The following is a 26,983-nucleotide window of genomic DNA, read 5'->3' on the forward strand; positions in this document are numbered from 1 at the left end:
ATGATAAAGACATATTTGATGAACTCACAGTTAATATCATACTGAACAGATAAAAATTAAAAGTTGTTCTACTAACATCTGGAACAAGAAAAGGATGACTTCTTTTACCACTTTTATTCAACATAGTTCTAGAAGTCCTCGACAGAGCAGTTAGGCAAGGTAAAGAAATAAATGGTATCTGAATAGGAAAGGAAGAAGTCAAACTGTCCTTGTTTGCAGATAACGTGATCTTATATGTTATAAAACCTAAAGATTCCACCAAAAAACTCTTAGAACTGAGAAATAAATTCATGAAAATTGCAGGACATAAAATCAACATACAAAAATCAGTAACATTTCTATATACTAACAGCAATCAATTTGAAAAAGTAATCAAGAAAGCAATTCCATTTACAATAACTATGAAAAACCCCTAAGAATAAATTTAGCCAAGGAAGTGAAAGATCTCTACATGAAAAATTATAAAACACTGATGAAAAAAATGCAAGAGGACACATCTGTATAAAAAACAAAAAGATAGCCATGATAAAGGATTCCAAGAATTAATGTTGTTAGAAAGTCCATACTACCCAAAATGATCTACAGATTTAATGTGACTCCTATTAAAATAACAATGACATTCTTCACAGAAGTAGGGAAACAATCCCCAAATTTGTATAGAATCACAAAAGACCCTGAAATAGTTAAAGCAATCATGATAAAAAAGAACAAAGCTGAAGGCATCACACTTTCTGACTTCAAATTATATTATGAAGCTATAGTAACTAAAATAGTATATTTATATACATATATGTGTGTGTGTCAAGATTCTGTGAGTTGCCAAATATTTCGTAGTTAATATTAGCCAGCTAATGATGAGTCTAGCTCTCCAAGAACATTTAGAAGTCATAAAAGTACAGCCATTAAATTAACATCAGCCTTTGGGCTGATTTTTTGTTTGCTTACTGCTACATGGTTACCTGTCTGTTGGAATGTGGGTTCAGGGATTAACCTCTCTACAATCCTTTAAAAATGTGGCACAGTTTAATATCTGGAATTCCACATAGCAACTGGTTTGTCAAAGTTTATGATCTAAGTTCTCGGCCCTTTCCTTCTCTCAATGGAGACCAGACGGCACTGACAAGATCAAAAGTAACACGGGCTTATTCCTTATTCACACTGATGTGACTTGTTGCCCAAGGGGGATTTCAACCGACTATACCTAGGCATACTCACATTAGTGACAAGTTGAGCGGTATGGTAGCCATGCAGTATAAAGGCATGGCTTCTACTTTCTTAGTTGAAAAAAGACATCAAAGCTGGAAATGAATAGATGTATCTGTATTTTGCCACATTTGCTTAAGTTACTATAAAAAGGAAATGGTATGATTTGATGTGACTTAAGATTGTATATGCTTCCTAAATTTGCCATCTTTGTACATTAAATGAGAACACTGAGGTTATGGGTGTTAACAGCCCATCAGAAACTCATGCAATATATTCTGCCTATAGAGAAAATCCTCTTTCTCTCCTTTACTCTTTCTTCTCTTCCTTCCAAGTGAGGTAGGGGTCCATAATGGATGATGGGAATATAGTGGCTCAACCTGATGCATGGTATTATGAGGTTAGAGCCCACACGAGTTTAGTAGGTTGGCTGTGTAGAGGAAAAGATGACGATGGACAGCCTAGAACACAATTGTGGGCTGTGAAAGGTTTAAGAAGATATTCATTTTGAGGGCAGAAGTAGCCAGGCATGGTGCTGAAAGATTTTACATGTAAGGGAGATCGGATTAGTACATATACTGAAGATATTGAGAGCCAGGTTTTTTACTATCCATATGATATCCATATGGAAAAGGAGGACACTAGAAGGAACTTCATGGTGTTGGATTAAAATTGGAAGTATAAATGTAAAGTCAAGGTTTTCAATATATACTGACATATGCAAAAATACAAATAGGTGTAAATGTATGTATGCATATATTCTCTAGCTCCTTTCACTGGGAGAACCTGGAAACATTGATATCCCAGTAGCAATAAATACATCTATCACCCAGATGTTTGTTTATAAATGCCATCCTCCATACAAGAAAACAGAGATGCTTGGAGAAATAGCTAATCCCAGAGTTTGGGAAGAGAATGTACACCTTGAGCCTTCTGGTGACAGAATGTAAGAAAGTACTCAATGAGTAAATGGGACATACTCAAATACACAGAAGCCAGCATAAAAGAGTTCCTACTGGCCAAGCTAGGACAATAGGCATATCAAAATAAGAAATGGTAATAAATTCAACTAACTTCATGAAAACCTTGTTTCTTTATCATTGTGAGAATATAAACATTTTGTTTTTAACTTTATCCCATTCAATCTAGTGTTTCATTCACTTTTCTGATATTTTCAACTGGTTAGGCTATTGGAAAGCCATAGAAGTTTCCACATGAAGTATATTATCTGATGAAATTACAGTATTTCCTTCAATTTTAATAATTGTGGGAAAAAGTGCCACTGATTCCCCGCCCTTAATTATCTAGTCAAAGAGATTTATGTCTCTGTCCCTTGACAATGCAAAAGGTAAATCTGAGTGGAAGGGAGGACAACGGTATTTTAGGCATGAACCCTTATTTATTCCTTGTAATTCCCTCTCTCTTGTTCTTTCCAAGCACAGATAATCTCTCTTTTTTTTTTCATTCTGGCATATGTTAATTCCATATATGATACACAAATGAATCATATAACTTACTAAAAATTTTAAAGATAAAATTATAATTTTAAACATTTTTAAACTGAATTTACAATTTGGTTTTATGTCATTATATATAGAATATATATATACAATATACACTGTATCTTTTGTGCAAATATATATGAATCTCCTTATGCTATAAGAGGGAAATAAGCATAAAAATGAAAAACAATAAAATCACCTAATACAGAAGGAGCAGGACTGAGATAAAAATTGAATAAATAAAAATTTTACAAAAAGAAAATCATTTAAATCATGAGTTTAAAAGAGAGAGAGAGTTTAGGAGAAAATAGAAAAAGTCAGAGAAGAGTAGACTTGAGGACAATTTCAGGTAAGAAGTGTGAACAGGAACAGCAAGAGTAAGGAGACAGAAAGTGAATGCAGATGGTCAGGAATAGAGGGAGGAAAAACAGATATGAAGTAGGGCTATCCAGGGAAGAAAAGTCTCAAGAAGCTGCAGTTGGTGGACAGTGTATATTGCCACATGATGAGTCATTGCATTTGGAAATTAGGTGATGGTTGGAGGCTGTGGAGAATGGAAATTCAGTTGAATATATGGATAGAAGCCAAATTCTGGGAGGTGAGGCCAACGTGAGAAAAGTAAAGATTAAAACTAGCCCACGTCCTCCTCAAGTTTTAAGTAGCAGTTCCAATTCCACTTCCTACAGGAGGTCTGGGCTGAGTCTTCTGCTGGCAGATGCTTCCCGAGCACCCTGTACTCTTCTTACCATGTCACTTATTAGACCTTTATTTTATTTATTATTTGATTCTGGTTTTCCTGCAGGTATAGGGCAAAGACCACATCTTTATTCATAAAGCATCTAGCACAGTGCTTGGCATATAGCAGATGCTCAATACATAAATTTTAGTGTTAACTCATTAGGAGAATAGTTTGAGAGAGCCACATAGTTATGTTTTCAACTACAATGGAATCATTCAGAAACTTCCTCAATAGCATCCTCATGAAAAGAGGAAAAGACAATAGATTGAAGCAAATTTTTCAAGTCAAGCAATAGAATTAAATAAACAAACAAACTTGAGGCACTAATGCCTTAATGTTGAGATTACAGCAAATGTTAAAATGGAGCAATATAGAGAAATGAATGAGAGAGGACCATGGCATGAGACAACAGTAATTTAAATTCAGGCTGTGTTTATCAGATTTGTAATGTGAAACTTGCTTAAGTTGTGTGAGCCTCAATTTCTTCATCTTTAAAATGAAGATTAAAATCTAGTGGTAATATAAGGATATATGCAAAACTTGTATACAAAGCAAATGCTTAAGAAATATTGAATATTATAATAACTACATCTATTTTCTAGTTTCCATTTTTATTTAGTTTAAAATTGTTGAATTTAATAAACTAAAAAGAAACTTTCCAAATAATGCTGATAGCCAGGATACAAAAGTTTTCCTGTTTTAGACTTGTTAATGAGAGAATTGTGAGTTTCTACAGAAAAGAACACTGTCTTATCCTCCAAATTATCCTTCATATCCGGCAAACAGTATGCACTACATATGGAATTTTGGCATCAAAGAGACAATAAGTATATGAAATATTCATTTTCCCTTACTTTTTTGTCTCCCTTTTGCAAGTGTTCTTTCATATGTAGAAAATTAAACCACCATGCAAAAGAGTGCAGTCTCTGATGAAAAGCTGAGATAAGTATGAAATTAAAAGTTTGAACGACTTAAAATGAAAATACTGAAAGAAGCCAGTTATGAGGTGGTTGGTAAGTCTGCACCCTTTTGACATTGCTTGCCAACTCCAGTACTTGTCTGTTAGATAATAACTGCAATTACTCTACCTACCATCTAACTCTCAGAGTCTCTGTTGATTATTATAGATAGCTCAGGTGTCATTTTATAAAAATTGGAAAACAAATTGATTTTGTTTTTCTGCACCACTACCATCAAAAAGCAGTCTGTATGCCTGTCATTAGCAGAACTGTGTATATAATTTACACATAAAGCTATCATAGACTTATCCCAGACAGTATGCCAGAGGATAATGTGGAAATTATGCTCTTTTGTGTAACTGGGAAGGTCTCCAAGAAGAGTGCCATTTCTTGGAACAGCAGAAGTCTTTTCTCACATGAGCTAGATGACAGAGGAGTGTTATGCAACTCACCCATGGATGCTGGCGGCCAAGTGACACCCAGAATTCTGATTCTGCATTATGTAATTGGAAATCCCTGCAGTGCAGTAACTTTTCAATGTGCAGGATGATCTAAATTAATGTCTCCCTTCTACTCAGGGAGAACTAGACTGTCAATGATTTCATTTGATGTTTTTTTGTTTTTGTTTTTTGTTTTTTTTTTGGGAAGAGATAACATTAGAGAAAATTGTAATGAATGTTTCTGCATGTCTGTTTTGTGCCGTTCCTTTTATTTTCTCACATCTGTGAGATTGTGAGCTTAATGTATTTTAGGTGTGTGTGTGTCTGTGTATGTTTACATTTGCTCAGTTGCTGTGAAGTACTAAGAAGGTGCCTTGGCTATTATACATATCACTTTTGCATATAAAACATGGTTGCTTAGTGGCCAAAACGTGGGACATATTCTTCCTATGGCAACAACTAGGTCTTTTGGCACACTCCAAAGATGATGCCTTTGGTTATTTTGCAATTGTTACTGTAGGATCTGTTGCCTGTGACTCTCTTAACTTCCTGAATGTGTTTTCCTTTCTTTCAACCTGAAGTCAAAGGCATTACTACTCTTTGACCTGATTTCTCATACATGAGTGTTTACCTATGACATTTTCAAAATAAAAATGTGTTTCAATGAAAATTGTTCCCTTTGGTTCATTTTCAGTGTTGTTTTATATTAATACTAAACAAGGTCTTTTACCTGGAGGAAAATAATACTGATTATTTAGAAACTGGCATTTTAACTGTTCCCTCATGACTTCAAATGCATATGGGATCCTTTTACCCACGATTACCCCTTGCTTTGACTCTTTAGATGTTTTAAAAGGGAAATGTCTTTATATAAAAAATGTGCCTGGGCAATGAAAGAGAAGAATGTATATTTTGCAGAAAACCAAGCTCTTCCTCCATCACTAGCAAAATTTCTAGCTCAGTCTAATCCTCCACTTTCTCTTTCTTGAATTCCAGCAACAACCTCCCAGCTTGTTTCTCCATAGGTACTCTGACGCCCTCTAAATTGTTGTTTGCATGAACAATTCATATTTGATTATATTAACCCCTTCTTCTCTTCTATATACCTATGCTTAAAATTCTTTAATGGTGTTCCTTTGTCCTTAGGAAAAGAAGACAAACTCTTCAATATGGCTTACAAGGCTTGGCTTCCTTTTCCAGCCTCATCTCATTCACTCCATGCTTTCCCTTTTCTGAGCTCCAGTCTCACTTTCCCTTTTTCATGCCCTGAAAGCCCCATGCTCCCTGTTACCCACACGTAGCTCCTTGTACTTTAAACATGATTGTTCGTAGCTTTCACTCTGTTAGTTTCATGGTTTCTTCAAATACTAACTAAGTTATCACTTCCACAGAGAAGCTTTCCCTCTCCAACATAATTTGTTTTTTTCCCACAGAATTATATTCCCATAGCACTGGCTTTTTCTCCTTTATATCACTTAATATAGATGAAAATTTACATTTATTTTGTGTAATTACTTTAATATTTATCTTTCTTATTACACAAAGGCAGGGATTATGTTTTTCAGTTTTTGTTTGTTTGATTTTGCTTAACTTTGTATCCCACCACCTAAAATAATGCCTGCAATGTGGTAGCAGCTCTATAAACACCTTTTTTTCTTCAGATAAATGAAAAAAAATGAAATCATATGGCAAGAATTTGAAATAAATCTTTACTAAGTCTACTGTGATTATTTAAGACTAGAAATTATGGCCATTAAGCTACCTAATTGTATTAGAGTTTTCTTGGATCAGATGATTTTGGCAAACAAATTGAACTTGAAAGAGGGGATTGCTGTAATTTCATCTGAATGGACTCTACATGGAAAGTGTCTTGACACATGAAAGAAGACGAATCTGGGATGGATGCTAACCTTTTTGGTCTTCACAAATAGAGATTGGGAGTTGATCAGCATGTCCAAAATGCCAATGTGAGGAAATATGTAGTCATACTGTAACAACATTTATTGAGTTATTACTCTGTGTTAGACATGCTAAGTTCTAAACCTGTGTAACTCATTTATATTCTCAGCAGTCTTCTGAGATGTTCGTAGTATTGTCATCTACATTTCATAGAAGAAGAAACTGAAACAGGTTAGGTAACTTACTCGTGGTCACAGAGGTAATTGGTGGATTTGAGGATTCACAGGATTCTAAAATCGAGTTGCTGCACTGCCTTCTTTAAAAAATTAACATTTTTGAGTTTTGTCTAGGAAGTGGGAGTAGGAAATGAACAATTTGTTTTGTCATAAGTAGAAGTATGAGAGGAACACTTATCTTTAAGAATAAGTGCAGACTTTTTGCTCTCCTCAAAATATCATCTTCATTATAATTCCAAAAATATAATGAAAGAAAAATTAAAATGATAACCTATCTTATTCTTACAATTAACTTAAGATTTTTTTGAGTTATTTCCATCTATATACTGGAATCTTAATACTGACCTTGGCATTAAAGTCCAGGTAGTATTAATAATATGAATGTTACATTTGTGTTATTATTCTACAGTTTATTAAGTGCTTTTACTTATATAGTGGATTTAATTCTTCTGAATACTTCATAATTATATCCATTTTAATAATATGAAGGTGAGTGTTAGAGCTCTCAAGCATACAGTAGACGGCTAAGTTAGGGCTAGCCTATAGATTCTCTGACTTTGGTCCAGCACGAAGGCTTTTCTATGACAAAGCCCTTTAAATGCATGAAACTTATAGAGCCATCTTCTTCTGGAATACATATCTGCATATAAAGGGTCTGAGCACTACTCAGCATATGCTGAAATATTTTGTTGCAATGTGTTTTGAGTTCTGCTGTGAAATTTTAGTAAAATTGATTAAACAGTTTTTCCTATGGAAAAGAGAAAAATGAAATCATTTTAAAAAGAGAATCACCATTCAAGATACACACACATATACATATTTTCTTCATATATACTTTATACATAAGCATTAGTATTTATTTTACAAGACTGCAAAAGAATTATGATTAACATTTTCTTCAGAGCTCATTAGAATCATGATTTCTAGTAAACAATAAACTGACCTTAATGTTGCTATTTTCTTATTGTTAGCTGCTGGGAATAACAACAAATACAAAACATTTAAATATATGGTAAAACAATTAAAATGGCATTTTTGTGATATGTCATATTAAGGCACAAAGGGCAGAGTTTTTAATGTAATAATTATGGCCTTTATTTTCCTGAAAGTTTGTTTTCTTCAAGTTTTCTTTTTAATCTTGCTCTGTTTACATCAAAGCTTTAAAACTATCTTCAGTGTAACCTTAGCACAGGAAATGAATGACAGCAGGGTAGCTGGTCTGACCTCAAGACCTCCATATTTTTACTTTGAGGGCCTCAGCGCTCACATGTACTGAAACTCTACCAGCATATAGCAAAGTGCAGTGAAAATAAAATCAGAAAAGACTTCCTCAAGGTTGTTTTTTTTTTTTTCATAGCCCAAATAATAGTATCATGTGCATTTCCCATCAGGTTTGGTTTAGAATTTTCCATACTGTGTTTATATTGATACGTTGCCACAGTGCCTCCTACTGTGGTAGGAAGTTGGGAAATCTATGGTTGTATAAAAGTATGATAAAGAAATGAATTCAATTTTATTTTTAATTAGAACATCCCTAGATATAAACTGATAAGGTCAGCCAGGAGTTGTATCAGAATTTGCAGTTGGTTATCTAAAATCAAAATCGCAGGAGGCAATGTTCCTATGTTCTAAGTTGAAAGCTGAAATGTTGCAATGTTTATGTTTTTTAGCAAAATACAGTAAGTAGTTCCTTTTTAACAGTTTTGACCTTTTCAAAGAAATTAAAGGCCAGAAAACCTCACATGTTGTTGTAGTCCTCCATCGGTGAAGCAGAAAATGTTATCAAGTATTGTATGTCTTGTTTCTGGTGTGGTCTTTGCAACACAATTGTGAAAAGCCTTTGCTACTTGGGAAAAGAGAAAAAACCCTGACGCTGAACACGTGACAGATAATAGCAGTGAACATGAGCTCAGAGACCTGGGAGGGAGTCCTAGTCCTGCTACTTACTAGTCTTAGGACAGGCTCTTCGCTGCTAAGTGACAGAAAGTATAGCTCGCAATTCCAGCCCTACTGTGTTCGAAATTGGTGGGTTCTTGGTCTCGCTGACTTCAAAAATGAAGCCATAGACCCTTGTGGTGAGTGTTACAGTTCCTAAAGATGGTGTGTCCAGCGTTTGTTCCTTCAGATGTTCAGATGTGTCCGGAGTTTCTTCCTTTTGTTGGGCTCATAGTCTCACTGGCTTCAGGAGTGAAGCTGCAGACCTTTGCGGTGAGTGTTACAGCTCCTAAAGGTGGCGCATCTGGAGTTGTTTGTTCCCTCCGGTGGGGTTTGTTGTCTCACTGGCCTCAGGAGTGAAGCTGCAAACTTTCGCCGTGAGTGTGACAGTGACAGTTCACAAAGCACCCAGAGTTGTTCCTTCTTCCCATTCCCAGTTGTCTGTCCCTCCCTGTGGGTTCGTGGTCTTGCTGGCTTCAGTAGTAAAGCTGCAGACTTTCACAGTGAGTGTTACAGCTCATAAAAGCAGCACAAACCTAAAAAGTGAGCAACAGCAAGAGTTATTATGAAAAGCAAAAGAACAAAGCTTCCACAAAGTGGAAGAAGACCCAAGCAGGTTGCCGGAGAGGGTTTGGGTGGCCTGCTTTTATTCCCTTATCTGGCCCCACCCACATCCTACTGATTGGTCCACTTTACAGAGAGCTGATTGGTCCGTTTTACAGAGTGCTGATTGGTCCGTTTTGACAGAGCGCTGATTGGTGCATTTACAATCCTTTAGCTAGACACAAAAGTTCTCCAAGTCCCCTACCCGATTAGTTAGACACAGAGCGCTGACTGGTGCGTTTACAAACCTTTAGCTAGACGCAGAGTGTTGATTGGTGCATTTACAATCCTTTAGCTAGACAGAAAAGTTCTCCAAGCCCCCACCTGACCCAAAAGCCCAGCCGGCTTCATCTCTCAATGGCACTACCCACGGGACTTTGGGGTACATAGCCAGGGCACTCTGGCAGCCCAGAGGGAGCTCCTCCCACGATCAAGCGCAGCAGGCGCCCGCAGGCCGAGCTGAGTGCAGGGGCTGCGGAGCCCGCGCCCACCCCAAACCCGCACCTGCCTGCGAGCGCCTTGCGCAGCCCCGGCTGCCACGGGCGCCTCTTCCTCCACACCTCCCTACGAGCAGAGGGAGCCGGCTCCGGCCTTGGCCAGCCCCAGAGAGGGGCCCCCACAGCGCAGTGGTGGGCTAAAGGGCTCCTCCAGTGTGGCCAGAGTGGACACCCAGGCCGAGGAGGCATGGAGAGCAAGCGAGGGCTGCTAGCAAGTTGTCATCTCTTACTACCTACCATTGCTGTAGTGCAGCCACAGCATCTTATGTATGGTGGATTTGTGAAGCTTTACACTACTGTTACATGGTTTCTCAATCATATTTATCGTTTATACAAGAGCTCACAAATTAACAATTCTTTTACCTTGTTTCCAAATACCAGCATAGTCACAAAATGAATGACTCAGGAAGTGTAGATCTAGAAGAACCAGATAATTGCACATAAGTTTGGTGAGATCAGCATGGTTGTTATGTTGTGGGTGTACTTTGTTAGCTGTCTTTATTTTTATTCTCAGCCCTTTGTAGTGCTTTAAATGGCAGAGGTTTTGAGAATGGGTGTCCCAATGACGTTACTGAGGGCTGAGGTTAAGCATTACATAGAATGGTGGTACTTAGTTGTTGGCCATGACTGGTTTCCTCACCATCTGTGTGAAAAACTGTCAAAAGTACGTATTATTATGCTGATCACCAGGCATGGATACCCAAGTTTCCTGTGGTGGCCTGACTCTGCCATGTTGCTATAATTATAACATAAAATATGGCATGTTTTCCTATTACTCTTGAGTTAGAAAACATACAAGCCAATGCCACTGAGGAGTGTAGTGGTGGAATACACCAGTAACAAGGGGCATCTAACTTTGGTGCCTTTCACTCTTAAAGCTCACCTTGTATCTTAGCAAAGAATATACTTGACCTAGCTCACAGTCCCTATTCCACACAGGGACCAAGCTTCTTTCTTTCATTTTTATGATTGACATAGTTTTTGAGTAGGTAATATATTCAAATGAGTCAAAACCCAGAAAGTATATAGATATCTGTGAAAAGCCTTCTTTCCTTCCCATCCCGCTGTTTAATTTTCACACATTCTTCCCCATCATGGCCACAAACAGGTAATGTGTGCTGTAGGTTTCTTGTGTATCCTTAAAGAGATAGATTTTTTTTATAGCTGTAACTCGATATAAATATATTTTATTTTTCTTTCTTAAAAAGACTCATAAATGATGTGTATAAATATATTTATATCTCTTACAACTCAGCACAATGCTGGTGTAATGATTTGATATTCAAGCAAATCACAAAGCTCTAGTTAAATTAGTCTTTAATATATAGCTAAGAAAAATCGTTGGCAAATTTGTGTGCATTACAGAGCTCAAATGCCTAAGCATTGCCTGCCTCTGTTCTCAGTAAGCATATGTTTTATTTAAAGAGAAATCATCAGGTTTATCTGGGTTCATCCTAATGTATTCAGCACATTAACACTTGTTTCCAATAGAGTTTAACAGCTTCTTTTTACCAATCCCTTTAGTAAAATCTTTTATAATATAATAGTTTAAACCCAACTTATAAAATATAAAATGTGTAGTTCCAATCAACATTAAAGTGTGTTATATGTATAATTTAATATTTCTTAAATTTTTATTCATTAAAAAATCACATACTGGTCTTGATTTGAAACAGCGTTTCAAATGGTTTTTAGTTATGTAAATTATTTCTCCCCTGACTGTGTAATTACATGATGGACTGGTTTCTAGAGTATCATATACTTAATGTGAGTTTCTAAAAATGCTTTAATCATATAATTGCTAGTTTATCAAGTAGAAATATAGGTTTGAGAACACTATCATTATGTCATTATTTTCCACAAAAGACTGTGAAACACACTGAAGAGGCTATTATGAGGCAAATAACAGTTTTCTGTGGTGTCTAAATTTGCAAGGATTATATTTTTAAAAGAATAGTAAAGAAAATACCTAAAGGTGAAGAGCTTTAAATCTAGCCAGCCAATTTATGTTGTGTCTCTATGAAAAACCAGTCCAGGCAAAGAGAGTGAATAGGTTAAGACCAGAATAATGAAGATAGTAGATTATCTAACTCAATGAGTGATACTAATATTTAATAATTGATTCACTAAATTCTGCAAGAAAGCCTAAAGGAAATGAAATAAAGTGGAGATATTTTATTTTATTTATACTAGAATCCAGTTGCATTGCTCTTATACTAATTATTACTGGCTGTACCATGTTCAAGTGTGATTGAAATAGAAAATCATTTATCTTCAACTGGTCTACCGCCAGTAGGAACAGGGAAATATAATCTAGAAAGGCTAAGTGGTTAAATTGAAGTCTAGTTTTACAGAAATTAAAGATTTAAATAAACGTTTTCTGATTTATTGAGTAGTCATGGGTGAGAAAATGTTTTTATTTTCAACAAAGTCTAGTAAAAGTCTAAGGTTAAAATTGCTCCCTCTGTGGGTTTAGTATGAGAAGAGAAGACTCCTAAAAAGTCCTCTCTCAAGAAAAAGTCTCTCTCAATATATTTCTGTTACACACACACACACACACACACACACACACACACAGTCAGCCTTTCGTGTGCAGGTGTTCCACATCCCTGCGTTCCACCAATGATGAATGGAAAATACTTGGAGAAAAAAAGTATGGCTGCATCTAAGCTGAACATGCACAGACTTTTATTCTTGTTACTCCCCAAACAATACAGTATAACAACTATTTACATAGCATATACTTATATTGGATATTATAAGTAATCTGAAAATGATTTTAAGTAAAGGGAAGGATAGGTGTAGGTTATATGTAAATACTATACCATTTTATATAAGGGACTAGGGCGTCTGTGGATCTGGTATCTGTGGGGGTTTCTGGATACCTCCACAGATAGCAGATCCACAGATAGCCATATTTATTTCTGGATACCTCCACAGATACCAATACCATAGACTGTGTATCTATTACCCCGTCTCCATTTAAAACGATTACAGCTACAGCTCTGAGCAGAAGAAAAACCAAAGGCAGGATGTTAGATTTGTTGATAAATGCCTATGTTAAAGGTGTTTCTATATTGTAGTTTCAAGTTCAGATATTTATTGTTATTTATTCTGTTACTATTTACTCAGCTATTGAATATAGTTCATGATGAATATATCTAGATGATTTATATTTTCATGCAATTAAAGCGTTTTTCTCCCATAACGAGTTTTTTTTAAAAATTAGGTTGTTAAATTGCTACTATATTCTGCTATTTAATCTTTTGATTTCCTTTTACCTTTTAAAAGAAATTAAACGTAATATTCTAGGAAAATAATACATTTTAAGCATTTTAATTTGCTGAAATGGTTAACAATTGATTTATTTCTGACCATTTAGGTCTCTCAGGAAAACCTGAAACTCGGTGGAGGGTGTTAGATGGGACTTTTGTGGCTTACACTGGAACACTGCAGGGTGGTGATTAAGAGTCTGGATTAACAGATCAGAATGCCTGGGTTTGAGTTCCTGCTCTGCCTCTTATCTCTCTGTGACTATGATCAATTGAAAAAACTTCTGTGTAATTCAATTTCCCATTGTAAAATAGGGTTGGTAATATTAAGTGCCTCATAGAAAATTAAAGGTCATTATGTGTACCAAATGCTTAGAACTCAGTGGAGCACATGGTATACCCTCATTCATTGTGCATTTTTCCTTGGTTTTACTATCTAGGGGCCTTTCCTGTTTCCTGAGTCTGTAGCTCTCCCTATTCCTCTTATACCTTCTTCACTGTTCTATGATTCCCTCTTTCATCAAATAGTCAGTGCTTAGAATACATCCACAATTTGTTTTAAAAGTGTCTCTGCCATTCAATAGCTGGGCAATCTTGAGAAAGTTCCTTAATTTCTCAGCCTACTGTGTTTTCTTTTGTAGGAATCTGTTTTCTTGTAAGGATCAAATGATATATTAATGTGAAAATGCTTTAAAGTATGCAAGTAGCTTGAAGTGTGAGTGCTAGAAAGGAAAAGATCATCCTCTTATTTCTTTTTTTAAACAGAAGTTATATTTTCTGTTAGAATAGATTTGTTTTTGAAAACTAGAAAAGCAGAAAGAAGAAAAAAATCTGTATTTCTTCTGTTGAAAGATAAATATTGTTAACATTTTGTTATATTTTAATATATTTTCCTATGCATTTTATTATATTGTCATAAAATAGAAATGTAATACGGTATTGATGTGCCTTGTTTTAATTTTTGCATACTGCTAGCATACCAAATCTAAAACATAATTTAAACAATTATTCTTTCAGTCATGATTGTCAATCTCTCTTTTTATGTATTACACAAGCATATGTATATATACACACACCCGCATAGGCACATGTGGAATGCATGTGTGTATATCACAAAGAGGATAGATAATTATTTTACTTGTGCTACAATGTGTTTTTTTCTGCATGATTTATGTGTTGCTTTGTTTGCCTTTCAGTGTAATATAATGCACAACTTTTGTTTTATACTTGTGGATGGTGAAGAGTTTTACTCTTAGATACTAAAAACTATCATAAAGATAGCCATGTTTACCTTTCATCTCATCATCAAATCAGATACCATATATTATATCATATACTATAGTATATGTAATTTATAATATATCTTATATATGATATATAACATATATGATATATATAATATGTGATTTATGTTATAAATCATATATGAAAAATTGCTTTATAAACAATCAAAATATTCTTCTCCCCAGTATGTTATTTGTTCATATACTTTGATTGTAGGAAGGAAAGATAGTTGTGAAAATTTGAGGTTGAGGAGGAAAAGTTAACAAAACTCCCAGCTTTAAGAACACAGAAATTTGAAACTCCCATGGATTATTATAATCTGAAACCAATAGTAAATAAAGCTTATTTATAGAGTGATATTGATTTTTAGTGTTAAGGTGATCAAAACAGATGGAAATACACATACATTGAAATAATTTTAATGTAGTTATTCTAACATCTTGCATTTACAGTTATTTAAAGGCAGTTTTTAAGACTTAAATTATGGTGTAGTTTTTGCCAACTACTCTAATCCATTACTAACTAACTGTATAATAGCTATATTAAAACTTAGAGCAAAAGAAAAATGGAAAACAATGTTTGAGAAAAATGCAAAACCAAACCAAAAAACACCCTAGAGAAGCAGAACAATATAAAATTAAACACACACACACACACACACACACACACACACACACACACACTAGAGTTCATAAGAGATATTGTGGTAAAGAAAAGTTATGATGCTAGAATTGAGGCAAATAGTATCCATGGAGATGCGCATTAGCCAAATTGAATCAGCCTTAAATTTGGATAGTTCAGCTGAGCTTTCAATATATTTGATTTTTTTTACTTAAGAAGTACTTACTAAGTGTCTACTATATGCTAGAATATCTGCTATGGAATTGGAATTTAAAAATAAAAGAATTTGTGAAGTCCTTGCCCTCCAGATCACAGTGTAATTGTGTAGACAGATACACACATAGATAATGAAAATACGACACTGCAAAAGCAGTGACATGTGTTAGACACAGGTTTTGAGAACATTCGGGAGAAAGAAAACGTAGTACCACCTGAGATAGGGTGGGGAGTACAGTTTCTGGGAAGGATTCCTGGGGAGCAGACACCGAATTGTATGACCCTGAGGAGTCAGGTCATGGAGGGTGGAAGAAGATGGATAAACCAAACTCCGGAAGCAGCAAGAGCATGGTATGCTAGTTCTGTTGTTGGTGCCTATCTGTGAGGTGGGAAGACCAGATATTCTGAAGGGAGGGGAATGATTATTTGAGAATTTTAAACCCTCAACTTCCATTTTAGATAGGTTATCCTGCTATCTCTGGGGAGGATGGAGTTGAGGAAAACGATAAAACAGACAGAATAGTTATGTTCTATGACATTCTCAAATTTCCTCATGGAAGATCTTTAAAAAAATTAATAGAAAAGTCTAAAAATAACAGTGCTTTTTGTGTGATAATTCTACTCGTCTCTGTAGATAGAGAAGCCTATTGGGGAAAAATACAGTAGGTAGATTACTGGGAAAGAAAACAATGAGACTTCTCCCAGCCTCTATATGCAGTCAGGGGGAATATGGAAGCTATGCTCCTTGGAGACCACATGGGTGAAAACTGCTTAAGGATTATCACTGGAGAATGGCTTCTTCAGAAGCAAAATTCTGACTTAAGGAACTCATTTAGTGGTCATTAATTAAGTCAGTGTGGCAATCCAATTTTTACTTTTTATCAGACGTCATTTATGTTTCCAATATCCATAATGAAGAACTAGAAAAGATAAATGTATAGAATGGTGAAATTAAAATAGAAGAGTCTAAGATAATAAATAATTTCTTTCACTGATTGTAAAGAATTATAAGCTATTTTACAGCCAAAAATTTAATAAATTGCATAAGAGCAAGTCTGAATTTTGTTAATAATAAAAAGTACAAGACAAATCTAAACTAGAGAAAAAATCCTCAAAAATGTCAAGTGTTTACCCATCCTTTTTTGTCTTGTCTCCCACACTTCTTCCAGATTGCAAATTAAACTGTGTCTTCCCACTCAGACATAGTTTTTAATCTCTTGGGAATGAAATGCATACTGTAATTCTTCATGGTTCAACTGTAAGTTAAACAGAGCAGAGTTTAAAATTATAAAAACACTTAACAGGAAATGTCAAAGTTCCCTCAGCCAGTAACCCAATGAAGATTGTAGTTCATAGCCTTTTCAGGACTACTATTTGTTACTGCTATGGAAATTATATCATTTCTGGGTAGACAGTATTTGTAAGGCTCCTTGGCCTTTACTTAGCCTGGTTAGTGAGTGTTCTTTGAGAAATCACAGTTGTAAACATGGTCTTAATTTATTTGACACTCTGTTTTATACTTTTTTTTCCTTCAAGTGTTTTAAGTTATATTCACACATATTAATAAACTAATGGCTGCCTATCTTCCTATCTTGCCCCTGTACTTCTTGTATGTATTTTTCTCACCAACTGCTAACTTGGATTCACACTTTATTTTTTATACCAGAGCTCATCAGTTTTACTTCCTATATTCTGCGTGTATTCCTCCTGGCTTAAGCCCCATAAAACAGCCTGCCCTGCCAAAAACTACGCAGAAAACAATAACATTTCTGTCTGAAATTGCTGCTAGACATGCCATGCTATTAAGGAATGGTAAATATAAGGAAGCTCATTTCTGGCAAGTTACAATCTCAGCTTAAAAAATATTTCCAAGCATCAGCTTATGCAAAGAATGTTTCAAACTGTCAAATTTATATTTTAAACCTTTTTCATCTTCCACAAAAAAGAAGGTATATTTATCAGTCCTACATAGGTACATTGATGTTAGTGCATACATGTTAAAAACTAAATAATCATTTTCAAGCTGATCTTAGTCCTTTAAAATTTTGATCTTGAAGAAGTTAGTTCCTCAGTCTCCTTTATTTCGATGTCATGTTTCATTAGACTATGTATTTTAATCTAGCAGAAACAAGCTAATCAAGTCAAAATACTAAGTTAAACTCGTGTGTTTTAAAAGTGAGTTTCTGAAGGGACCACAAAAAAACATGCTGCTGTTTCTAAATCAAATGTTTATAATCCATAAAATATGAGGGTTAGGACTATTTATTAAAGCTTTATCTTTGTCACTTTAACACAAAAACAGAAAAATTTAAACTGTGTAAGTATATATGAGGGTTATTATTAACTCCACATGTATCAGAGTTTAGGTTTGGCCCTTAATAACTACACTATTTTGGGTACTTTTCTTAATTTCCCTAAGTTTTAGTCTTCAACCTTATAATGGGAAAAATAACACTGTCTTGGGTTTTTTTGTGAGAATGAAATAAGGGACATATACAAAATTCTTAGTGAGGTAGCTGGCACTTGGTAAGCATACAGTAAATGGTAGCTAGAAGACCAAGGAAAGAGGGGGCAATATTTAGCAGCAGGAGAGAGGGTGCAATATTCAGCAGCAGTAGGAGGCTTCGTAAGTGTGGAGATATTCACTGGCATGGTCCTAATTCTAGTGATCACATTGAACTACTTTGTTATATATAATTTGAGTTTTAGAAGCAAAGCATGGATTACAAAATTCTAAGACAAGGAAAATAATTTGAGGTTCTGAAGTACTGAGGTGGGTTTTTTTTAAAATAACTCAGGGTAGTAGGATGTAAGAGAAAGAAAATGCCCAATATGTGGGAAGAGTTTCAAACACATCAATCTTACTATGTGGTTTGTGATTACAGAGTTCTTACAGAATGCTTTGTGTGGTGGGAAAATACTTATTTAAAATCACTCTTCAATTTTAAAGGGTTCATATCAGGGTTAAGACTAGTGAATGTAACGTGAGATGGTTGATGTATAAAACCAACCCCCAAAGCCAAAGTTCTCCAAACATTATTTGGCTTAGACCCTTTCAGCCAACAATAGAATTCTCCATGTGGCTTGCCTCAGTTCTAGAGTCACTACTCCCACCAGAAATGCTAATGGCAATTCTCTGAAACAAGTATCACTGAGAAAAAAGTTTTTTCCTTACTTTGATTCTCAAACTTGGAAATCAGTTAGCATTTCTGATTTCACATCCACATGTTTCAGAAAGGAAAATAGGCTTCAGGAATCTTAGCAAATACTCTAAGCATAAAAAGGGCATTACACACTTAGTTTTTTTCCTCTCACTAAGGATTAATAATTGTGGAAAGAAAAAATAAAAGAAAATTTTATCTGGATCAGATTTCTGAAAAGATGATTTTTTTTGGTAAATTTAGGAATGAGAGAGGTTAAAAGTGGACATAGTAGTCTTCATATTTATTAATATTATCCTCATGTTAAATTTGTCTAAAATAAAGTGCCATATTTACATGATTATTTTATACTAGGAATTAAAAATAATTTATATAAATTTAAACTTCTATGTATCCACATGAGTGCCAAACAGCTTGCTCTTTTAACATTGCTGTAAAAAACATTCTGAAGTCCTTTAGCGTATGGTTCTCAAAATATTGAGGCAACCCAAGGCCTTATCTACCTTTCTCCTTAAGGGAAATATTATCAGCTTTCTTGTTGGTAGGAAATTAGCGGTTAGAAGCATGCCTCACATTCGTGAAACTCAATGACATAACTGTAGCAGATATATAAAACCTATAGAAGGAGATCTGCAATCCCATAAATGTTATTATTAAAATGGGTAGACGAGCAGGTAACCCCCACAATACTGACTGGAGGAGTGGGGAATGCTTTACATTAGTAGTTATAAATCTTTAGTCTTTGAGGTAGATTAGGGAAAAAATTTTCTATGGAATTCGAGGCAGTGGTAAAACAGAAAATAATTTTTAGTGATAAAACAAAAAATAATTTTTAGGTACCTGGCATTCCTGACATGGTATCCACCAGTATGTATTTTGCCTTCATTCTCAAATTTCACTAGATATAGAATTCTGGGTTGATAGGTTATTTTCTTTCAACTCTTTAAAGATATTCTTTCTCTGTGTCTAGCCTCTTCTGTTTCTGATAAGAAATTTGCAGTCATTTGAATTGTTCTTCTTTATAAAATATATCATTTTTATCTAGCTTCTTTTAACATGTCTCTGTTTTTATTTCATTTTCAGCAGCTTATTACAACAGATTAGATGTGTGTGCATAAGTGTTTTTTGAGGATATTCTGTTTGTGGTTGGCTTCTTCAATCTATAAATTTATCTTTTCACCAAATTTCAGGAAATTTTTGCCATTATTTATTCCAATTTTTTATTTCATTCTTTCTCTTTCACTTTTCTGGGACTCCAGTTATATCCATGTTATAGCCTTTGATAATACTCCACAAAACACGGAGTCTCACTTTATTTTTTTCTAATTATTTTTCTTTCTGTTTTTCAAAAAAGATTGATCTATCTTCAGGTTCACTGACTCTTCTGTCATTTCAGTTTTGCTCTCAGGCTCATTCAGTAAATTTTAAAAATTTCAGGTATTGAATTTTCAGGTCTAGAATTTCCATTTGGTTCTTATTATACTTTCTATTTTTCTGAGATGTTGTTTTTTTATTCATTTTACATATATTTACATTTATGTTCTTGAGAATGGTTATAATGACCTTGGCATCATCTCAGAGTGGGCTTTAATTCTGTTCTCTTAATAATGGGTTATATTTTCTTGGGTTTTATTTGGTATATTAAATAGTTTTATATTGTAGCATTATCATCATGAATGATTTATTATAGAAACTGTAGTTTATGTTACGTTTATCCTAAGAACACTGTGTTCCCTCAGAAGGACTGACAGAACTTACTGACAGCTATTATACTCACGGTTTTGGTTCATTACAGAGAGTAGATTCAGATTATAATTAGTGAAAGTCAGAAACATATACACAGAATCCAAGAGAAGTACCAAATGTGGAACTTCTGTTGTCCTCTTCCTGCGTAGTCAGGATGCGTGACTCTCCTGCCATTGATGCATGACAATATACATACAGTATAGTCAACCAGGGAAGCTTGTCTGAGCCTTGGTGTTCAGAGTTTTTATTGGTGGCTCCATTACGAATTCTCCAACCCTTCTGGGCATGACCTGAAGCCCCAACTCTACATTGTATAATTGGTCTTTACCATGTGGTTATTCCCCACCCTAAATACTATCTGGTATGGCTTCCAACCTAAATCATATTGTTGGACAATCTGGCATGGCCTAAGGTAAACAAAGACACTTTTATCAGGAAAGACCCTCCAAGATTCTCCTGGCTGAGATTACCTCCTAAAGGCCAGCCCTTCTTGGTGGGCAAGATCAATTTCTATTTTTTAACGTATATTTTTTAAAAAATTTAAATTGATACATTAGGCCAAATTCTTTACTATACATAGTTGTTATTAATGTCAGATAAATACATTAAGATTACTGTTGATACCTGTCTTCGTCTGTTTTGTGTTGTTATAAAGGAATAACTGTGGCTGGGTAATTTATAAAGAAAAGAGGCTCATTTGATTCACAGTTCTGCAGGCTGTACAAAAGAAGCATGACACCAACATCTGCTTCTAGTGAGGAGTTCAGGAAGCTTCCAATCATAGTGGAAGGGGAAAGGGATTTGCATCACATCACAAGAGGAAGGAAGCAAGAGAGAGAGAAGGGGAGGAAGGTCTGGGGCACTTTTAAACAATCAGTTCTCAAGGGAACTAAAAGAGCGAGAACTCATTACTATAAGAGTGGCACCAAGCCGTTCATGAAGAATCCACCCCCATGACCCAAACACCTTCCACCAGGCCTCCTTCAACATTGGGAGTCAAATTGCAATGTGAGATTTGGAGGGGACAATCATCTACACTGTATCAGTAATACTCATCAATGCATCAAGGACATTGAAGGTACTGTGTTCCTGTCACTGCAGAAACTATTAGTACTAATGAAGTTGATACTTTATCTTCTTACTAGCCTGTGGAGATTCTTGGGAAGCAGTTCTCTTTGTTTTTCTGTGCTTTCTGATTATTAGCCTTTTATATAGATTCATGAGCCCAGGGCAGGGGCAATCAACTTAACAGAAAGTCTCTCCTTGGAAGCTGACCTGCTTTTCTTGAAAGAGACATTTACAGCGCTACTGTCTCTTCTCTTTCTAATCTGAGAGGCTTCTTAGACACTCAGGCTAGGAGACTGGGTTTCTTCAGGAACCGAGTAGTTATGACTACTCATACTTAAATCCGAGAGTGAGCACAACTTAATTGCACCCTGGCATGTGTTCATTAACCACAATTTATACCAACATTGCACATCAGAAGATTAGTGATTCCATCTGGGTCTTTGTGAGGAAACTTCATTTTTCCCTCACAAGGAACCTGGCCCGTCTGATTTAACAGTTTCAAGGGATGGTTACAAAATATAGTATTACATATTTCATGATGGTGTATTGTTCAAAATGTAATAATGTGAACATCATGTATAAGTCATATTTGTTTATTTATAGGTAAACAGAGAAATACTGTAAATATAATATCTCACCCTACTGTTTAGTTACCTTGGAAGTCTATTGTATTTCAAAATGAAGCAGAATGCATGTTTCTTCATTTTATTCAAAATGAATAATACTGTAAATGCTTTTATGAACAAAATTATGTATCTTTCCAATTCTGATAGACTACAAGTAATAGTAAAATGCATTTAAAAACTTGATGATCACATGATTACAAAGGTAAGAGAACACGTGTCTTTAGGGTGTGGCAAGCAAGGTACCCAGGGTGCACCTTCAGATTCCAACTCTGCACTTGTGCTAGCCTAAGAGTATCTCATTAAATTTTGTTCCCTGTACACCTTGTCTGCCTGACTCTAGTCCTGACCCCCAATATATCCTAGTTCTATCATTTGTGGAGTGTGTGACCATGGAAATGCAAGTTACTCTCTCTAAGCCTCAGTTTCCTCATGAAGAAGTACCGGTAATTTTAATGTAATGGCAGTGTGCAGGGTGAAGGGAACATACAAATAAGAGCCCATTAATGAGATTTGAAAGTGCCTCAAAACTCACAAAACAGTAGAGGTTAAACTGACCTGAGAAATTTAATTATTTTACTTCCCTGAGGAGAAAATTGACAGTGAGTTGGAAGGTGCAGGGACTTATCAGACGCTATTCATGTTTTGGGGCAGAACCAAGGTTGGAGATAAGTTTCCAGGATTCTGTTCAAATGCTTTCCACTGTACCACACTTACTGCATAGCATAGTGAACTAGGTTGGGGACTCTGGATTTGTAGAGGAAGCAAATGGATTCAGGAAAGTTACAAAGCAATCACTGACTGGTGATCATTGTAAAGTGATGGCTAAGACGTCACAATAGATAGATGTTTACAATTCAGACCTTTGATGACTAAGAAAATGATGCCATCAACTGAAATAAACCATGAAAATTTGTAGGAGAGATGGTGAGTTGGCAAAGAATTGGAGTAGAAAAAGCATGCTTCAGCCAGGATGAGAAGGATTTAGATAATCTATAAGGAATAATTTTTTTTGAGAAAGAAGCCTGCTAGGGGCTTGTAGTGGGATATATAGGCAGACTGGAAAAATTATGATGGTCTTTAAAAATAGGATAGTTTTCTGGGGTGGCTTAAGTATAGCATTGCTTATACGCAAGAAGTTGTCTTCAGTGATTTCTCAAAGTCCATCTGAAGCCTGTGGTTCTTTGAAGTTCTTAGATTTAGTGCACTTAGTTTGTTAAATGGATGTTGGATATGGGACATACAAATATGATGGATTTGAATTGACCTTTTGAATGATGAGCGGAATCAGCTATGCTTTACCAGAGGGGTCACTGTGGTGTAACCTTTCCAGATCCTATGGGCTGGAGTGCTTTTAAAGACCCAAGCATCTGAAACTTCATCCATGCACTAAGCATATGTAATCGGCATGTCTGCCAGGGCAGTTACAGACAAGAAAGACTTGTCAGGCGGCAGCGTCTGCACCAGAGAACTGGGAAGCTTCTTGAGTTGACTTTTCATCAGTAAAAGTGGGATGACGAGCCTGGCTAAGTTGTCACAACATAGATTCTTGTAGAAAGTGACTCTATAACCTCAAGGTTACATTTAACACCATTTTACTTTTCCGGCTCAATTGGTAAATAGTCATGCGTTGGCCATTGTTCATTTTCTTCAAGCATGCCTAAGGACTCAAAATAATTTTAAGAGAAACAAATTTTAAAAGATACTGTTACGTTTCAACTTTTGTTATTGTGAGAGAAATCAGAGTGGCCAAAAATGGTATTTCAAAACCCTGCTTTTGAACTTTCTTAGGCTAGAACCCAGAAAAGCTATTTCTACCGTGGTGATATGTGAGTCTTGGTGATTTTGACCAAATACATTTGCTAATTTTAATGGAGTAGTTTATTCATAGCATCTTGATGAGAATTTGGGGACTGCTTGTCCATTTAGTTATGGTGATGGGCATCACTCACAAAGATAGAATGTGTTCAAAGCTACACTTCTTTCTTTATGGTGCGTGGATTTTATTTCAATGACTATTATTGAGAGGAATATGGAATGAATATTATTAACATTATTAATTTAGCCAAACTAGAGAAAAATTATTTCTATAGACTTGTAGCAGTGTGATTTCATTAAAGCATGCATTGAAATTGGGCATTTGGGGATACTGACTGCCCTTGGTGTGTATCTATTTGGATGGAATTGAAAGGGTCTATAGGGATGAAGTTTGATGTGCTGGATCTTGGGGCCATGGAGGAAGGCGATGCTGAAATGATGGAGACATTATGGGGTCTATGCACAAGCCCAGTCTACAGGGCAAGAGTCAGTATCTTTAGCTTTGAATGGGCTAAATAAAGAAGAATGCAGAACCATTTTGGAAGGTTTTACAGTTTTGTGAGGAATTGGAGCAGAAATTTTGGTGTACATGTCTCTTAGTCAAATGAGGGGACGCTGCAAATGAATTAGAAGTGTTCTTACTTTCCCTTGTAACATTAATTAAGTCATATCCCTGTTCTATAGTTGATGTCCATTTCATGGAGAAATATGGGATCAAACTGTTGATGAAAAATTATAAAATTTAGTTTTTATCACCACCATGCTTTTAGCAGTAAGAAATAATGTATTTATTATGTATTCATTCATCATATGTTTTCAGCTGGATTCTAGAGTATCAGTTGAAGAATCAAGAGAAGCATCAAACGCAAAGGTGAAATTATGGAGGTCTGTTAGCTTTACACAGCCTTCTGATCATACTTGAATAATGTTTTAAAAGGTATATCCCATGACAAGAGTGATGCTTAGTTAGAATATGAGCTGTTTTGCACCTACTGTGTTCTACCTGACATATCACAAATATTTGTGGTTATTGCGCATCCCCTGTAGATATTAGTGTTTGCAATCCCTGATCCAGAAGTATGTTTTCAAGGACCATATAGAAACATTATATCTTTACATTACATAAACATCACCAGGTCTGACCATGCTTTAAGTCCAAATAAAGTCTCATTAATATTAATACTAATTAATTATGTTTCTTTTATTCTATATATATGACTATAGAACTTCAGCACCACTTGTTTCTGCATATATCCAGGGACATCTCACATGCATACAAGAAAAAAAAAATCCACTCATGTTTTTTACCTTGCTGCCAGAAAGTCTTTGGAGGGAGCAGTCCTACCACAGCTGCTGCAGCTGATGCCCTCGTGGGGAAAGCACCTTCACTGAGACTCCATCGCCCTCGAGGGTGGCCACCACTGCTTGGCCACTGCTGTCCAGGCCCCACCAGATATTGTTACTCTCTTTCAGTCCAGAGGTGGGGATATTCCTTTTTCCATATTAGTTTTAAACTTATTGCTAGGTGCCAGAGCCCATACTCTTAGAGTTTCACTGGACAGTGGCTTCTTTAGTGCTGAATTTAATTATTCTTCCTCATTCATTGCCCAAGCCATCCTTAGAACTGTTTGGCAGAATAACACCAGGCCATGCCATTATTCATCATTTTTTCTCATATCTTTCCTCATGTTCCTCCAATCTCCAACTCCCACGTACTTCTTTTTCCTCCTTTTGGTAAAAAAGTGCAAAATCTTGAATACATTTCACCTCACCCAAATAGGCACTCTGAAACATGACTCTCAGTCCCTTAAGCAGATAATGGAACTCATTTTTGGACTAGCAGGATATACTACTAAATTTGTATCACCTAGTATAGTTAGCAAACTGCATTTATTTTCATCTTTTTATGGTTTGTGTACCCATAATCACATCTATATAGGTATACTCACAAGTACAATCTTTGTGAAACCTGTTTCTAAAGTAGGGACTATTCATTTATTCTAGTAAGTTCTACTTAAACATTCCTTTCTTGACATCTTTGGTTGATTCATAAAGTTAAGCTAATCTATATTCAATTCTTTACATCCCTTCTATAATAAATAAGAGTTACAGAACATAATATTAGTCTTGCCTTGTCATACCTTTTCCCATATTCTCTGAACATGTGAATCTTCTTCAAGACACAGTTCAGGACTCCTGTCTATGAATCTTTTTTTGATTAGTCATCTCTTGTTTCAGTCATTGCCATCACATTAGTTCAGTTTCAGAAAGGGCTTTTTATGGAACACTGTACCCTGCTTTTTTCTTTTCTTTTCTTTCTTTTTCTTTTCTTTTTTTCTTTTTTTTTTTTTTTTTTTTTTTTTTGAGGCAGAGTCTCACTCTGTTGCCCAGGCTGGAGTGCAGTGGCCCGATCTTCGCTCACTGCAACCTCCGCCTCCCAGTTCAAACAATTCTCCTGCCTCAGCCTCCCAAGTAGCTGGGACTACAGGTGTGTGCCACTACGCCCAGCTGATTTTTGTATTTTTAGTAGAGACAGGGTTCCACCATGTTGCCCAGGCTTTTTTCGAACTCTTGGGCTCATGTGATCCGCCTGCCTCGGCCTCATAACGTGTTGGGATTACAGGCGTGAGCCACTGCACCAGGTCATGGAACGTTGCTTTCTTGAAAGATGTTAATAAGTGTTCCTTGGCAGGGATGAGGGAAGAAATTTGTGCCAAACTAAACTTGGGTAATTCTGCTCACTTTTATCTACCTTTCTCAGTGTACATAAACACATTAAAAGTTTTAAGGTGTGCGGTGGCTCATGCCTGTAATCCCAGCACTTTGGGAGGCCGAGGCGGGCAGATCACAAGGTCAAGAGATTAATACCATCCTGGCCAACATGGTGAAACCTCGTCTCTACTAAAAATACAAAAAAAAAATTAGCTGGGCGTGGTGGCCTGTGCCTGTAATCTCAGCTACTCAGGAGGCTGAGGCAGGAGAATAGCTTGAACCAGGAAGTCGGAGGTTGCAGTGAGCTGAGATTGCTCCACTGCACTCCAGCCTGGGTGAAAGAGCAAGACTCCATCTCAAAAAAAAAAAAAAAAAAAAAAAAAGTTTTATGTGCTTTATAAATAAAGAAACTAATTTAACTCTGTATCCAATCTTATAAATATATATGC

General features: G+C 35.7%; 1 long non-coding RNA gene across 1 annotated transcript in view; it reads left to right on the forward strand.

Annotated features, from left to right (window-relative positions):
- LINC01934 (long intergenic non-protein coding RNA 1934) overlaps window positions 1-26,983 on the forward strand; it is a 275,717-nt gene that overhangs the window by 11,946 nt on the left and 236,788 nt on the right. The gene's annotated exons all lie outside the window — the stretch shown is intronic.

The sequence above is a fragment of the Homo sapiens genome, chromosome 2 (assembly GCF_000001405.40).
Source record: "Homo sapiens chromosome 2, GRCh38.p14 Primary Assembly".
NCBI classification, from domain to species: Eukaryota; Metazoa; Chordata; class Mammalia; order Primates; family Hominidae; genus Homo; species Homo sapiens.